Raw genomic sequence first — 16,704 nt, 5'->3', positions numbered from 1 at the left:
GCGAGGCTATCTCGATTCCATTTCCGCTTCCGGTCTTGAGCGGTGCGGTAACAGGTGCCCCGGGCCGTCTCTGCAGGCCTCGGAGCGCGCAGTCGCAGTCAGCAGCCGGCCGCCCAGGGCCAGGCCCAGGACGAGGCGCTGCCGAGGGCCGGCAGGGGGCACCCCAGCGCGCGGGCAATCTGAGCCGTTCATGCGCTGGGCTGAATAATGCCATTTAGCTATCTTTGCTCACTTATAGTTGATTCTACACTCTGCAGCCAGAGGGATCTTTCTAAAATGCAAATCTGATTCAGAAACTCCACTTCTTAAAGCCCTTTTAATGCACGTGTTCTCACGCTTTACAGTGCATTAGGTTAACCTGGAGCGCTTGTTAAATGCATCCCCCACTGCAGACCTGCAGAATCATGATTTCTACAGATTAGGGTCGGGGGTGCAGGCAGTCTTGCAGGTATTTGAAAAAATGGCAGACCATAAGATCTCTGGAAATTTCTTATGTCTAGTAGGTTGGGGGTTGTAAAATGCTGGAGTTATTCGTGTATTTTTATTGAGTGTGCAATCTTTTGATAGGTAATTTTGCAAGATATCTTGTAATCACTTCGGAAACATCCTTCTGCATAAGATGCATTAGCGTTTGTCATTTACTCTGGTCAGTGCTTCAACAAGAAGTGCATACAAATACGGTAGTAAAATATTCTCATCTTCTCATTGTCAGTCATTGTCATATTTTGTGGGTTTTTTGGTGTGTGAATATCTCAAAATACTTTGCATTTGCCGGGTCAGGTCATGCATTTCACCCACTGAACATTTATTTAGTACCTAAAAAAGTACCAGACATTGTGCTAAGGAAATGAGGAACACAAGATGACTAAGATAAGGTTTCCTGGGGGGAATTCAGCAGTATGCATCAAAATTTAAAAATGCACCTTCATTTTGACACACAATTTTACTCCTAGGAAACTTGTGCAGAAATACACACATGAAAATTATTTACAAGCATTATCTACAAAATATTTACATGCAAAAATATATTCTAAGATGCACTTGTCACCCCCCATGCCCCCATATATTTTAATTTCTGAAACTGGATGCTTTTTACAATAATGGAATCTTACACTTGGTGAAATAAGGAAATGAAAAACTACAAAATCCTAAAAGTTGTTCAGTAGGAGAATGGCAAAATGAATGGAATACATTCATTTTGTAGAATACCAAGCAACTTTTAAAAAGGGAGAAACCATTTTTAGGTCACTATGGGGAAGTGTCTATGATATTGCAAGGTCCGGAAGCAAGTGAGAGAACAAGTTCAAGGGCAGGAGCTCTGAATTCAGCCTGGCCATGTTCAGATTCTGGCTTTACCATTTAGTAACTGTCACCTTAGTCTCTTCTTTTGTGAAATGGGAACAAAAATAACACCTACTTCATAGGCTTGTTTTGTGAATTAATTGGGAACGTGCATAAAAATGCTGAGCATAGCACTTGACTCTTAGTAAACACTCAATAACTGTTAACACTTTTATTAGCACTATTAGGCTAGCAAATGGAAAGTTCTGGAAGGGTATACAACACATTGTTAATAGTGGTCTTCTGTGGGGAGAGGAGGGAGATTGCAAATAGGAGCAGACAGAAAAGGGACTTTCACTTTTCATTTATATAGTTCTGTATTTGAAAAGTTTTCTATTGTGAGGATGTACTACTTTTTAATTTAAAAAAATAAGATATGGTTCCAGCCCCAAAGGAATTAATACAGTACAGGCTGGCACCGACCCACAGAAAAGCAATAATATAGCTAGGTAAGGGATCCTGTGGGAGCCCAGAAGGGACTTAAGCCAGGCCAGGAAAAGGGATGGGAGCCAGGAAAAGGGATGGGAGCCAGGAGGGTCTTCCTGAAGCTGATGACTGAGAATTTGAATGTATTCAGTATAATCAGAAATGTTGAATGTGCTTGCTGAATTAAATAAGCTAAGATACTGTGGATGACCCAGGATATCTTCTTTGAGCTGCTTTTCTAATAGTGGCCCTGACTTGGTTACATGAGACAGTGGGGTGTTGAGTTTTGAAATCTCTCCCAAACAGCCGGAGAGATAAGAAAGAACACATGAGCTGTGGATTCTTTATCTGAGCTATGCAGATGCTTTGATGCATGAAGAAAGTTTTAAGACATCTGCACTAGCTTGAATAAGATAACAGTGAAAGCATGGGTGGCCCTTGATGTCAAATACAATCAACAATATCCTGAGGATGCCACCAACTGCTGATTGGAAACTCTTACCACATTGTATCAAGATTTCATGACAAAGAAACTAACATTGGTATCTATCAGCTATTGACCCCATATTGAAAATCATGGGTAGGGTAGACTCGCCAATTACAAGTGTCTACTTGGGTCCCAGCTGTGTCTCTCTTGGGTCATTTTGTGTTACTTATCTGTGTAACAATGGTTTGTGACTTTCCTAAGCATCAGAGCGTCTCATCTTTCTCTGATTCTCTGCTGATATGGATGTCAGACCATTCCATCTTGGGGGCTGGAGGTGTGCCAGGAAGTATAACTGTTAGCACATTGCTGTGTAAAAGGCATCATCTACTCACTGCTGTCTGTCTGGCACCAGGGCAAAGACAAATGATAAATACCCTAGATTCTCCCCCAAACAAACCAGGGCAATTTTAACACAGCCACAGCTAGGAGTACCCCTCCCCCACCCCCGCAACCCTGGCTTCAAATTCACTCCAGCTCCAAGCACAAAAAGAAGTAGGTTTTCAAGTCCTTAAAAGTCACCCAGAGTGAGATAAAATCTCATTTATCCTTAAATTTATGATTAAAAGGGTTAAGGATAATGTTTTGGGGCCTCCTCCATAGGATGGATTAGAATCAGTATAGCACTTCTGAACTGACCAACCCATTTGTTTTATATAAGGAAGAGTCTAAGTCCCAGAGATCGAACAGTTTTGCCTGAGGTCACTCAGATGATCATAGGTCATACTGAGACTGAATTCTGGATCACCTGGCCACTCCCCACTACATCATGGTCATGGCACCTCATCAAAAAGACCTTTGGTTCCCCAGCTGGCCTGTCTACAAACATTTGTACTGTTCTGAAGAACCCTCCCCATCTAAGAACAGCCAGGGCTCTGATCACAAATAACTCAATGGCAATATTGAGTGCCAATTATGAGCCAGGCACTGTTGTAACTCTTGGTTACAACAGTGAACAAAACCAAGTTCTTGCCCTCCAGAGGAAAGAGTCCACACACATATGCACATGTGGTGAGAACAGGCAGTGTTCTCACTAAACATCGGTAGCTGGAGGAAGAAATTTCACATTTGGACTATGCTGTAGACTAAATTGTATCCCCCCAAAATTCATACATTTGCACTCCCACTCCCAATTTTATAATGTTTGGAGGTGGGGCCTTCAAGGGGTAATTAGGGTTAGATGAGCTCATGAGAGTGGGGCCCCCATGATGAGATCAGGGTACTTATGGGAAGAAGAGACGCTGGAGAGCTTGCTCGCATGCTGTCTATTCACGCCCATGCTCAATGGAAAGGCCATGTGATGACAAAGCAAGAAGGCGGCCATCTGCAACTCAGGGAAAGAGCCCTCACCACACATCAACCATCCTGGCACCCTGATTGTATTAGGCCATTCTTGTATTGCTATAAAGAAATATTTGAGGTTGAGTAAGTTATAAAGAAAAGAGGTTTACTTGGCTTATGGTTCTGTAGGCTGTACAGCAAGCATGGCTCTGGGTATCTGCTTGCTTCTGGTGAGGCCTCAGGAAGCCAAGGGGGAGCCGATGTATTGATGTATCACATGGCAAGAGTGGGAGTAAGAAAAAAAGTGGGAGGAGGTGCCGCACGCTTTTAAACAACCAGATCTTGTGAGGGCAGCACCAAGACGATGGTGCTACACTATTCATGAGAAGTCCACCTCCATGATGCAGTCACCTCCCACCATGTTGGAGGCCTCACCTCCAACATGGGATTACATTTCAGTGTAAGATTTAGGGGGAAAAGTATCCAAATTATATCACTGATATTAGACTTCCAGCTTTCGGACCTGGGAGAAGTAAATCTCTGTTGTTTAAGCCACCCAGTTGATGATTTGTTATAGCAGTCTGAGCTGACTAAGACAGACTCAAATGTGTGTGGGCTGCTAGGATAGAATTACAAGCTTACTTTTAGGGCTTAACCAGATTTCCACCAGGCCTTCTGAATTTTGCCTAGCCAATGTAAGTAACACTGCCAATGTTTGAGAAACTTGTCCATCTTTTCTTGCTAGACATTCTTGTGTTCTCTTTGCACTGAGATGTGAATATTGTGACAGAGAGTCATCAACATAGAATTAAAAGAAGTTCATTCTACAGCATTTGGTCTACAACCTTAATTGGCAAATAGCCTCATTTTGTGACTTTTAGGTTGTCTGAGAAAATTCTGTTTCTTGACCTGGGTTGGTAATTATTAACATGTTTGCCTTGTAGTAACTTACTAAGCCATACATTTCTTTTGTGTAGTTTCCTGTATCTTTATTTTATTTTCAATAAAGTTTTTTTTAAATAAATAGCTTCACTCACAGGGTAAGCTGAAACCTAGAAGGGAGAAGTGCCCAGTTCAAGGTAACACAATGTTCTTAATAAAGTTCACCTCAAGTCTATCCTCTTTTTTTTTTTTTTTGAGATGGAGTTTCACTCTTTTCACTCAGGCTGGAGTGCAGTGGTGCAATGTCGGCTCACTGCAACCTCCGTCTCCCGGGTTCAAGCGATTCTTCTGCCTCAGCCTCCCAAGTAGCTGGGACCACAGGCGCACCCCACCACGCCTGGCTACTTTTTGTATTTTTAGTAGAGACGGGGTTTCACCATGTTGGCCAGGCTGGTCTCAAACTCCTGACCTCAGGTGATCCACCCTCCTCGGCCTCCCAAAGTGCTGGGATTACAGGTGTGAGCCACTGCACCTGGCATCTCTATCCTCTTTTAAGAGCTTTGAAGGAATGGAGGAGAAAAGGATGTACACTTTCTACCCCTTTTCTAGAGGACAAGTGACAAACTAAAGCAGTATCCAGGCAAAGATCCAACGGAGGTGAAAACAATGAGAGGAAGTCTGTCTCTGTCTCATCTCTTTAAAATGTAAGCTCCCAGGGATTTGAATATCAAAGTTTCATAATCACTTTAACATATGCTGTTGGGACCATCATACCCCATCTGCATGTGCCCTTCTGCGCATGCCCCAAACTTCCTAACTGTGAGCAGGTGCAACTCTGAGGGCCTTCTGGAGAAAGCTTTGTCGACACAAGTGGGAACCCAAGGGGACCAGAGAAGACACCCTGAGAGAAGCCCTCAGCCAACCACAGAGGAGCCAGTTCCCTTGCCCCTTGGATGTGCTAACTCTAATGAAGCAGCGTCATTTTTCTGGGGTAACACCCGAGGTTCGATGTCTCATGCTAAGGAAATTGAAGACATGGCCATGCAAGGAGTGGGTTTAAGAGTGGAAAGTTAAATAGATGAAAGAAGGAAGAGAGCTTCCTCATGCAGAAGAAGGGGTCCTGAGTGGGTTTCCCTGGTTTGGGGCAAGGTGTGGTTGGTTTTAGGGATGAGCGTGAGGAGATGGTATATGATTTACATGGGGTGTAGTGGATTGGTTGGACCAGATGTGCCATTTTCATAGCCCGTGAAGAGGCTGGTCATCCCACTCTAATCTTTTATTATGCAAATGGAATTTTAAAAAACCTGGCTGGTGCCATGTTATCTGCACACGTGGCAACAAAGAAAAGGGAAGAGGGAACCTCCATGTTGAATATACCTGGTTTCCAGCTATCTGTTTTCTATTGGCACAGCTGCTGGTATTTACCTATGCAAGCCTCTAGCTTGCTTATCTATGCTTGCAGCTTGATTTTTCAGGCTGCTTTTTGTTAAAAAAAGAAATGATTTGGAGACTGCGTTTTTATTAAAAGAAAAACCTTACTGAGGACTCTCTTACCCTCACTAACTGTCTAAATAATTTCTTTTTAGCTCTCGTATAACTAAGATATATTCCCTACCGTGTCTCAGAGGTCCCCAGTGGAAATGCACCCTAGATGTCCACAGCAGTAATTGGATCAAGGAATTCATTGATTATCTTCCTTTCCTTTTCTTTATCTCTTTTTAGGAGCACCTTCCAAATAAATACTCAGAAACACCTCCCAAGACACACTAATTGCATGAAAATCCTAGTTCAACCACATAGGTTACAGATGAGGAGGGACAATAGCTTGCTGAATTATAGAAAAAGTTAGTGGTCATAGATCATAATTTGGATCTTATGTCTTGGTTTCTGGTCCAGGGTACTGTGAGATTATCATTCTTCTTGATATGATGAACCATGGAGACTTTTAAAAAACAGGGATCGGCAGCATTATCATAATAGACAGAAGGTGGAAAGAATCCAAATGTCCACCAAGAGATGAGTTTGTAGGCTGGCACAGTGGCTCATACCTGTAATCCTAGCACTTTGGGAGGCCGAGGTGGGTAGATCAACTTGGGGCCAGGAGTTCGAGACCGGCCTGGCTAACATGGTGAAACTCCATCTGTACTAAAAATACAAAAAATTAGCTGGTTGTAGTGGCGCACACCTGTAATCCCAGTTTATTGGGAGGCTGAGGCATGAGACTTGCTTCAGCCTGGGAGGCGAAGGTTGCAGTGAGCTGAGATTGTGCCACTGCACCCCAGCCTGGGCGACAGAGAAAGACTCTGTAACAACAATAACAAAATGAATTATAAACAAATTGTGGTATGTTCATACAGTGGAATATTCTTCTATCACAAAAAGGAATAAAGTACTGTTACATGTTACAATGTGGATGACCTCAAAAATATTAACATTATGCTAAGTGAAATAAGCCAGACACAAAAGGTCATATATTATATGATTCCATTTATATGAAATATACAGAATAGATATATCCATGTCAATAGAAAGCAGACTGGTGGTGACCACGGGCTTGGCGGAAGAGGGAATGAGGGCTTTCTTTTGGAATGATGAAAATGTTTTAAGACTTGGCATAGATGGTGGTTCCACAACATTGTCAATGTACTAAATGCCTATGAATTGTTCACTTAAAAATGTCTACTTTAAAATTAACATTTATGTTGTATGAATTTTACCTCAAAGAAAATAGGGTTAGTCCTAGAACAAATGGTAGAGGTGTACAGTTTATCTTTTTTCCAATTTATTTTCTGCAACTGTCTTACAAAATAAACCTCTCCGCACCCTGTCCTTCCCTGTAAGTGTCTCATGACTCATGTCATCTAGCCCATCAGAACCTAACTAGTTCATGGCACTTGTTCTAGTTAATATTGATTTTTTCAGAGGCCTTCAGTTTTCTAATTGCATTAATTCATTTCTTTATCAATAACTTTTTCATGGCAAAAACTCCTATCCACCGGGCACTGTGGTAGACACTGGGGAGAGAATTGTGGGCAAAATCAAACCCAGGCTCTGTCCTGAGTGTTTACGATCTAGTAGGGAAGAGAGAAATTAATCGAACAATCATCCAACAGTCTTCTGTGACAAACGCTAAGAAGGAGAAGTGTGACCTAGTGAGAAGGATGTGACCAAGTCCTGAGGTCAGAGGAGGCTTGCTGAAGGAAGTGACAATCAAGTTGAGATTTGGAGATTGTAGGTGTTAAAGTGAAAGTTGTTTATCAATCCTTATTATGCACTCGGCATTGTGTTTGATGTATGAACTCATGTAATGCCACCAACAGTCCTTTGAGGGATCTACTATTATTACCACTTGCATTTTTCAGGAGAAAATGAGGCTCAGAGAGATGAAGTGACTTATTCGAGGTCACACAACTAGAAAGTCATGAAACCAGCATTCAAATGCAGGCAACCAGACAGATGTCAACATTTTAGCCACCACGGACAGATCATTGAGTGAGGGATGAAATCATTTTGGGTGGGCCAATGGATTGGGCTGATCTAGATTATAAGTATAAAGCTGGAATGGTCATTCAGAGAGGGAGAACAAACTAGGTGTTCAATTGTTTTAATATCTATTAAATTTTCTAGGCTAGATGCAGTGGCTCTCAGCAGCTTGGGAGGCCGAGGCGGGAGGATAGCTTGAGTCCGGGAGTTTAAGACCAGCCTGAGCAAGCTGTCGAGACCCCATCTTTATTATATTTTAAAAAATAAAAATTAAAAAAATAAAAAATTTTCTAACTACGAATCCATGTTTGTTTTTTCTTTTCTTTTTTTTCAAAAGAGCATCAATTTCCCAACCATGTTTCTTATTGTTACAAAACTCAATAAAAATCTGAAAGTTGGAAGCCATGACTTGCTGGGTGTAACGTACTAATCAAGAAGGTGGAATCAATTATTAAATAGTCAATAGGGTTAACAGCAATGAGTGATCATGGCAGGCAATGCCCCTAGCATCCCCTAGGTGGCAATAAAGAGCAACAAAGATTATTCCTATGGCCTTTCAAAAAATTAAATGTATGTATTTTAAAGTATGGATGAACATGGTTAAAAACTTCAAGCAGTATGGGAGGGGGTACAGAATCAAAAACAAAAGTCTCCCTTACACCTTCTCCTACATCATTAATTCCTTTCCCCTCAAATAACTTGTTGAGAGTTTCTTGTATACTTTTTGGGGGTATATTTTGTTACAATTATTATAATTATAATTTCCTATAATTATAACTATAGAAAAAGTACTTACATCGCTCTTCTTTAAAAATGCAAGCAATTAGTACTTTTTTTCCTTAGCATATCTTTCCATATCAGCATATACAGCTCCACCTCATTTTAAAATTTTAATTAAAAAAATTTTTAAGTAAAAAAAAAATTTCTTAAAAGAGACAGGGTCTTGCTATGCTGCCAGGCTGGAGTGCAGAGGCTAGTCACAGGTGCAATCATGGCTCACTGCAGCCTCAAAGTCCTGGGCTCAAGTGATCCTCCTGCCTCAGCCTCCTGAGTAGCTGGGACTACAGTTGTGTGTCACCATGTCCCGCCACCTCAGTTTTGTAATGACTGCAGATTTCATAACAAGAAGAGGTCTATGTATAGAGTGCTTACTGTACACCTGCCACTGTCCTAAGCACTTTCCTTGCTTTAAGCCATGTACTTCTTATAAAGCTTTAAGAGGTGCATTTTGTTATTATCCCCACTTTACATAAGAAAAAACTAAGGCACAAGTGGAGAAGTAACTTGTCCAATGGCACAAAGCTAGTAAGTGGTGAAGCCAGGATTTAGATACAGGAAATTTAATTCTTGAGTCTATGCTCTTAGCCACCATGCAAAACTACTGCTGCACAGATGTACTATATTGCAGTGGTCCCCAGTGTTTTCGGCACCAGGGACAGGTTTCGTGAAAGACAATTTTTCCATGGACTAGGGTTGGGGGGATGGTTTTGGGATGATTCAAGCACATTATATTTATTGCGTACTTTTCTATTATTATTGCATTGTAATATATAATGAAATAATTACACAGCTCCCCATTATGTAGAAACAGCGGGAGCCCTGAGCTTGTTTTCCTGCAGCTAGATGCTTCCATCTAGGGGTGATGGGAGACAGTGACAGATTATCAGGCATTAGATTCTCATAAGGAGCATGCAACCTAGATCCCTCGCATACGCAGTTCACAATACAGTTTGTGCTCCTGTGAGAATCTAATGCCACCACTGATCTGACAGGAGGCAGAGCTCAGGCAGTAATGTGAGCGATGGGGAGCAGCTGTAAATACAGATGAAGCCTTACTTGCTCACCTACTGCTCACCTCCTGCTGTGCGGCCTGGTTCCTAACGTACCATGGTACTGGTCCGTGGCCTGGCGGTTGGGGACTGCTGCCTTAAGGTACTGAATCTATCATTTCCTTAATGTATTTTTTAAAATGTTGTAGGATATACTGTTCTAGAATGTACCTGGGACTTTGGGTTTATTCATGTATGGTAAGGCCAATGGATCGGAAGACCATTGCCATTAAAAATATAGTTTTATTGCTCACAGTTCCTGATATGCTTTGGCTGTGTCCCCACACAAATCTCATCTTGAAGTGTAGGTCCCATAATTCCCACGTGTCGTGGGAGGAATTTGGCGGGGGCGGTCATTGAATCATGGAGCCGATTACCTCTATGCTCTTCTCCTGATAGTGAGTGAGTTCTTATGAGATCTGATGGTTTTATAAGGGGCTTTTCCCCCTTTGCTTGGCACTTCTCTCTCCTGCCTCCTTGTGAAGAAGGATTTGTTTGCTTCTCCTTCTGCCATGATTGTGTTTCCTGGGGCTTCCCAGCCATGGGGAACTGTGAGTCAATTAAACCCCTTTTCTTTATAAATTACCTAGTATCAGGTATTTCTTCACAGCAGTGTGAGAACAGTCTAATACAGTTCCCAAGGGGCAGGAGCCCGCCATGCCATGCAGAACCACAGGAGAGAACTTTGAGGTTGGTCACAGCCAGAGAGGATGAGAAGAAAGCCTAGGAAAAAGCCTTTATTGTGGTTTTTGCCAGGAGGAATGGGCGAGGCAAGGTAAGCAGCTGAACAGGCTTAGGATTGGATAGTCTGAATAATTCAGGCCAGCTGTGGGCTATAGGTGTCGTACCTAACTGTCTGACACCCAACCCTGGGATGATTAGGGCTTAGGATTGGATAGTTTGAATAATTCAGGCCAGCTGTGGGCTATAGGGGGTTGGGGGGGGTAGTCTCTAAATGTCTGACACCTGACCCTGGGATGATTAGGGCTTAGGATTGGATAGTTTGAATAATTCAGGCCAGCTGTGGGCTATAGGGGTAGTCTCTAAATGTCTGATACCTGACCCTGGGATGATTAGGGCTTAGGATTGGATAGTTTGAATAATTCAGGCCAGCTGTGGGCTATAGGGGTAGTCTCTAACTGTCTGATACCTGACCCTGGGATGATTAGGGCAGGGGAAACTTGCCTCTCGGAGTGGAAAAGCCAGAGAGAGGAGGTGGTTCAGAGTATGGGCTCTGAATTGGTTGGACTGCATATTGCAGGAAGGTCATCTGCTATCTCTTGGAATGAGCTAACCCTGGGACAAACAGTCTCTTTCAGGTTGGTAAGTCCCCAAGATGTCAAGCCTCATAAGATATAGAAAATGAAAAATGCGATTAATACATATACATAGCATAAACTTTATTATTTTATCCATGTTAAAGTGTACAGTTCAGTGACATTAAGTACATTTACATTGTTTTGCAGCCATCATCACCATCCATCCACAGTTTTTTCATTTTGCAAAACTGATACTTTATGCCCATTAAACAGTAACTCCTCATTCCATCTTACCCTTGACCCCAGCAAGCACCATTTTACTTTCTGTCTGTATAAATTTTGCTGCTGCAAGTATCTCAGATGTATGGAATCAAACAGTATTTGTGCTTCTGTAACTGGCTTATTTCACTTAGCATAATGTCTTTGAGTTTCATCTATGCTGTAGCATGTATCAGAATTTCCTTCCTTTTTAAGGCTGAATCATATTTTGTATGTATACACCACAGCTTGTTTATCCATTCATCTATTGATGGACAGTTGGGTTGCTTCTACCTTTTGGCTATTGTGAATAATGCTTCTAAGAAAACAGGTGTACAAATATTTCTTCATGTCCCTTTGAGTTGTTTTGGGTATACAGAAATGGAATTGCCAGATCCTATGGTAATTCTATTTTTAATTTTTGGGGAATTGCCATACTGTTTTTCATAGCCGCTGTACCATTTCCCACTAACAGTACACAAGAGTTCCAGTTTCTCCACATCCTCCTATATTTTCTTCAGAAATTATATCATTTTAGGTTTTACATTTAGCTCTATGATCTATTTTGAATCAATTTTTATGTATGGTGTGAACTATGGGTTGAAGTTCATCTGTGGGCACATGGATGTCCAATTATTCCAGCATCATTTGTTGAAAACACTATTCTTTCTCCATTGGATGACCTTTGCACCTTTGCCAAAAATCAATTTACAGCCAGGTGCCGTGGCTTATGCCTGTAATCCCAGCACTTTGGGAGGTCGAGGTGGGAGGATTGCTTGAGCCAAGGAGTTTGAGACCAGCCCTGAGCAACATAGTGAGACCCCATCTCTACAAAAAGTAAAAAAATTAGCTGGACATGGTGGCATGCACCTGTGGCCCCAGCTACTTGTGGGGCTGAGGCAGGAGGATCATGTGAGCCCAGGTGGTTGAGGCTTCAGTGAGCCATGATCGCATTGCACTCTAGCTGGGAGACAGAGAGACACCCTGTCTCAAAAAAAAAAAAAAAAATCAATTGGCTTAGTCTAGTGGTGGCTCACACTTGTTGTCCCAGCTACCTTAGAGGCTGAGGTGGGAGCATCACTTGAGGCCAGGAGTTCAGACCAGCCTGGGCAACATAGGGAGGCTCTGTCTCAAAACAAACAAACAAACAAACAACCAAAAAACAATCTATTGACTTAATCTAGTGGTGGCTCATACTTGTTATCCCAGCTACCTGAGAGGCTGAGGTGGGAGGATCACTTGAGGCCAGGAGTTCAGACCAGCCTGGGCAACACAGGGAGACTGTCTCAAAACAAAACAAAACAGGCCTGGCGCGGTGGCTCACCTGTAATCCCAGCACTTTGGGAGGCCGAGGCGGGTGGATCATGAGGTCAGGAGATCGAGACCATCCTGGCTAACAAGGTGAAACCCCGTCTCTACTAAAAATACAAAAAATTAGCCGGGCGCGGTGGCGGGCGCCTGTAGTCCCAGCTACTCGGGAGGCTGAGGCAGGAGAATGGCGTGAACCCGGGAAGCGGAGCTTGCAGTGAGCCATTGCGCCACTGCAGTCCGCAGTCCAGCCTGGGCGACAGAGCGAGACTCCGTCTCAAAAAAACAACAACAACAAAAAAACAAAAAAACAAACAAAACAAAACAAAAACAATTAACCATATATGTGTGGGTCTATTTGTGAAGTTTCTATTTTGTTCCATTGATCTATGTGTCTGTCTTATCAATACCACACTGTCTTTTTTTTTTTTTTTTTTTTTTTTTTTGAGACAGCGTCTCGCTTTGTCACCCATGCTGGAGTGCAGTGCATGATCATAGTTCACTGTAACCTTGAACTCCTGGGCTCAAGCCTCCTAAGTGGCTAAGACTATATTCATGTACCACTATGTCTGGCTAATTAAAGAAAATTGTAGAGATGGAGTCTTGCTATGTTGTCTAGGCTGGTCTTAAACTCCTGGCCTCATATAATCCTCCCACCTCAGCCTCCTAAAGCTTACAGGTGTGAGCCACTGTGCCCAGCTTCACACTGTCTCAATTACTGTAATTTTATGGCAAGTCTTCACATCAGGCAATGTAACTTCTCCAACTTTGCTTTTCTTTGTCAATATTGTTTCAGCAATTCCAGTTCTTTTGCCTTTCTATATAAATTTTAGACCCCACTTGTCAGTTTCTACAAAAAGTCTTGCTGAGATTTTGATTAGACCATAGATTTATGGTCTTTAATATTTATTCACAAATTTAATATTCCTACTACTTTTCATTTTTTTTCCTTTAAATACTAATTCCCATCTGGTTTCATTTCCCTGTAGGCCAAAGGACTTCCTTTAGCATTTCTTGTAATGCAGATCTGCTGGCAACAAAGTCTCTAAGTTTTTAACTAAAAATATCTTTATTTTGCTTTCATTGTTGAAGAATATTTTCACTAGAGCTTGACACCTTTTTTCTTTCAGCATTTTAAAGTTGTCATTCTACTCTATTCTGTATTTAATTGTTTCTGATGAGAATCAAGTCTTGATGCCAAGACCTGAAAAAAAAGAGAAGTCAATTATCATTTTTACCTTTGTTTCCATGTACGTGATGTATCATTTTTCCCTCTGGCTGCCTTTTAGATTTTTTCTTTTTCCAGTAATTTGCCTAGGTGTGTTTTCCTTTGCATTTATCCTGATTGGGTTTTTGTTTTTTTTTTTTTTAGCTTCTTGGATATGTAGGTTGATATTTTTAATACCATTTGGAAACATTTAAATCAATTTTTCTTAAGCAAACTTTTTAAATGCTCCATTCTTTCTCTCCTTTTATTTTTAGGACTCTAATTACATATATGGTAGAATGCTTGATACTTCTCTGCAAATCACTGAAGCTCTGCTTATTTTTTTCTTTAAATCTTTTTTCTTGCTGCTGCTTCAGTTTGGATAATTTTTATTTACCTGTCTTCAAGATCATTGCTCCTTTCTTCTGTATGCTTAATCCCATACAAATAATTTATTTCAGGATTTGTTTTCTTAGTTCTAGGATTTTCAGGGGTTTTTAAAAAATTTTTTAATTTTTTTTTACATTGCATAGCTTCATGAAACTCATCACCTCTTCACCTATTAATCTATTCCTCTAGATTCTTTAACATATGTATTGGAGTTATTGTAAAATATTTGCCTACTTATTTCAACATCTGCATTGTCTTTGGGTCTGTTTCTATTAACTATTTTTTCTCTTGACTATCACAGTTTCCTGCTCCTTCACATGTTTAGTGATTAATTTTTTTTTTTTTTTTTTTTTGAGGTGGCGTCTCGCTCTGTCACCCAGGCTGGAGTGCAATGGTGTGATCTCGGCTCACTGCAACCTCTGCCTCCCAGGTTCACACCATTCTCCTGCCTCAGCCTCCCAAGCAGCTGGGAGTACAGATGCCCACCACCTTGCCTGGTTAATTTTTTGTATTTTTGATAGAGACGGGGTTTCTCCGTGTTAGCCAGATGGTCTCCATCTCCTGACCTCGTGATCCATCCACCTCGGCCTCCCAAAGTGCTGGGATTATAGGTGTGAGCCACTGTGCCCGGCCCAGTGATTTTAAAATTTTATACTGCACATTGTGGATAATATAGCAGAGGCTCTGGATTCTATTATCTTTCTCAGAAAATTGTTGAGTTTTGTTTTAACTGGTAGTGAAATTACTAGTGACTCGTTCTTATGTTACGAAGGTATGGTTTGGGACTTCTTTTGGGTGGATCCATTTTGGTTTTGTGCCTTCTACATACTAGTTCTTGGATGTGGTCTTTCTGACTAATTTGTGACCCCTCTGGGTTTCAACAGAAAGACTGAGGAGTTTAAGTTTCTCTAATTTGGTAGAACTTGAGCTCCAAACTCTGCCTCCCCAGCACTGATCAATGCAGTTCTTTGCATTCTCCTCCAGCTTTTTGGTTTGGTTTTGTTTTCTGTCGGGCTTCACAAATACAGTTTGAGTCAGCCAAGGATTTGAGGGGAGTTTATATTCAGATTTTTTAGGTCCCTTTTCTGTGGCTCTATCATTTCTGGGATTTCTCTCATCAAATTTCAGCCACCATGGGGGCCCCAAACTCTAACCTGTGATTCTGCTGCCTAATAAGACTATTGCTTTTGGCTTGAGCTCTGTTCTCTGTGTGCTATGCAGACTGGGTGACCCTTCAGAGGAAAAGCCGGGTAAATGTGGATGATTCCCATTTTATGAGGATTCTTACTGACCCTCCAGTTTTTAGTTGTTCTCAGGTGTCTTTAATTTGTAAAAATGTTTTGTTCAGAGTTTGTAGCTGTACTAGGCAATGGAATTTGCCCAATATAAGTTACTCCTCCACTACTAAAATCCAGAAATCTAATTAGTCTCTATTGATGGACATTTTTGCTTCTCATTTTAAACTTTCACACATAACACTGCCTTGGTATATCCATACAATGTGACTGATTCACATATCCTAGCTCACATATCATAGTTTTCTGAGTAAAATAGTGGGAATAATTTCTAATATGGAATCACTAGGTCCAAGGGTACATACCTTTACACTTTTGCTAGAAATTGCCAAATTTCTCTCCAAAAGTGTTGCAGCAATGATGTTTGTGATATCTGTTTCTCACATCCTCCTCAACACTAAGCATTATTAATTTTTAAATTTTTTTGGTAGTCTGATTAATAAAAGTTGTATGCCATTGGTTTCCTATGCTTTTGTTGATTTATGAGTGAGGTGGACTAACTTTTCATTATTAGTCATTCTACTTATACTTTACTTGGGTACAGAAATTTTCATTTATTAGAATAAAAATTTCTAAGAGCTACTGTTTACTGAGCAATTCTTTTTTTTTTTTTTTTTTTTTTTTGAGACGGAGTCTCACTCTGTCGCCAGGCTGGACTGCAGTGGAATGATCTCGGCTCACTGCAACCTCCGACTCCCTGGTTCAGGTGATTTTCCTGCCTCAGCCTCCCGAGTAGCTGGGATTACAGGCATGTGCCACCACATCCAGCTAATTTTTTTTTTTTTTTGTATATTTAGTAGAGACGGGGTTTCACCATGTTGGCCAGGATGGTCTTGACCGCCTAACCTCATGATCCACCCACCTCTGCCTCCCAAAGTGCTGGGATTATAGGTGTGAGCCACTGCACCTGGCCTACTGAGCAATTCTTAAGGCAGGTCCTGACTGGACAATCCTACCCTTCTTGCTGCAGTTTTTTTCGGAATGGTCACATAACCCAGACTGGAGCACTGGGTTCAGGAATGGTTGTATGACCTAACTGTTACAGTAAGAATACAGTGGGGCTTTTGTCTGAAGGTTTAGGGTAGAGAGGCCTTCCTTCTCTCAGGACATTGATGAGGAAGTTTGTAGCCTGAAGAGCTACTCCCATGAGAGAAACCAGTTTGAGGTCAAAGAATACACAAAGGTGGACAAAGCTGAGAAAATCAAAGGGAAACAGAGCCATAGCCTATTAAATTTGTGATGTGCAGAATCAAACCAACCT

At 41.5% G+C, this 16,704-nt stretch overlaps 1 protein-coding gene and 1 long non-coding RNA gene across 5 annotated transcripts in view, besides 3 other annotated features; one reads left to right on the top strand and one right to left on the bottom strand.

Annotated features, from left to right (window-relative positions):
- The window catches only part of PRKAB1-AS1 (PRKAB1, TMEM233 and CCDC60 antisense RNA 1), a 280,141-nt gene that overhangs the window by 235 nt on the left and 263,202 nt on the right, over nucleotides 1-16,704 (top strand). The window lies entirely within an intron of this gene.
- Nucleotides 14-283: a silencer, noted in NCBI's record as "silent region_4930". NCBI's record gives its function as "represses an Ori minimal core promoter by ATAC-STARR-seq in GM12878 lymphoblastoid cells {active_cell/tissue: GM12878}" and the evidence as "EXISTENCE:reporter gene assay evidence [ECO:0000049][PMID:35858748]".
- Nucleotides 2,048-2,192: an enhancer, noted in NCBI's record as "145 bp enhancer 88 fragment used in the MPRA reporter construct; PK_construct_4701". NCBI's record gives its function as "activates an SV40 promoter by MPRA in K562 cells {active_cell/tissue: K562}" and the evidence as "EXISTENCE:reporter gene assay evidence [ECO:0000049][PMID:23512712]".
- Nucleotides 2,111-2,128: a transcriptional cis regulatory region, noted in NCBI's record as "GATA motif; enhancer activity is reduced when this motif is scrambled". NCBI's record gives its function as "necessary for full MPRA enhancer 88 activity {active_cell/tissue: K562}" and the evidence as "EXISTENCE:site-directed mutagenesis evidence [ECO:0005528][PMID:23512712]".
- The window catches only part of TMEM233 (transmembrane protein 233), a 60,522-nt gene continuing 57,415 nt past the window's right edge, over nucleotides 13,598-16,704 (bottom strand). For both annotated transcript variants that reach the window (XM_011538329.3, XM_011538330.3), the window contains one exon: nucleotides 13,598-13,755. Coding sequence is in view for 1 of the 2 variants with exons in the window: in XM_011538330.3 (XP_011536632.1) it covers nucleotides 13,716-13,755 (40 nt within the window). In the remaining variant the exon portion in view is untranslated. The remainder of the gene's footprint in view (nucleotides 13,756-16,704) is intronic.

This window comes from Homo sapiens, chromosome 12 (assembly GCF_000001405.40).
Source record: "Homo sapiens chromosome 12, GRCh38.p14 Primary Assembly".
In the NCBI taxonomy this organism is placed as follows: Eukaryota; Metazoa; Chordata; class Mammalia; order Primates; family Hominidae; genus Homo; species Homo sapiens.
The sequence above is the reverse complement of the archived record's forward strand: the minus strand, read 5'-3'. Positions and strand labels throughout refer to the sequence as shown.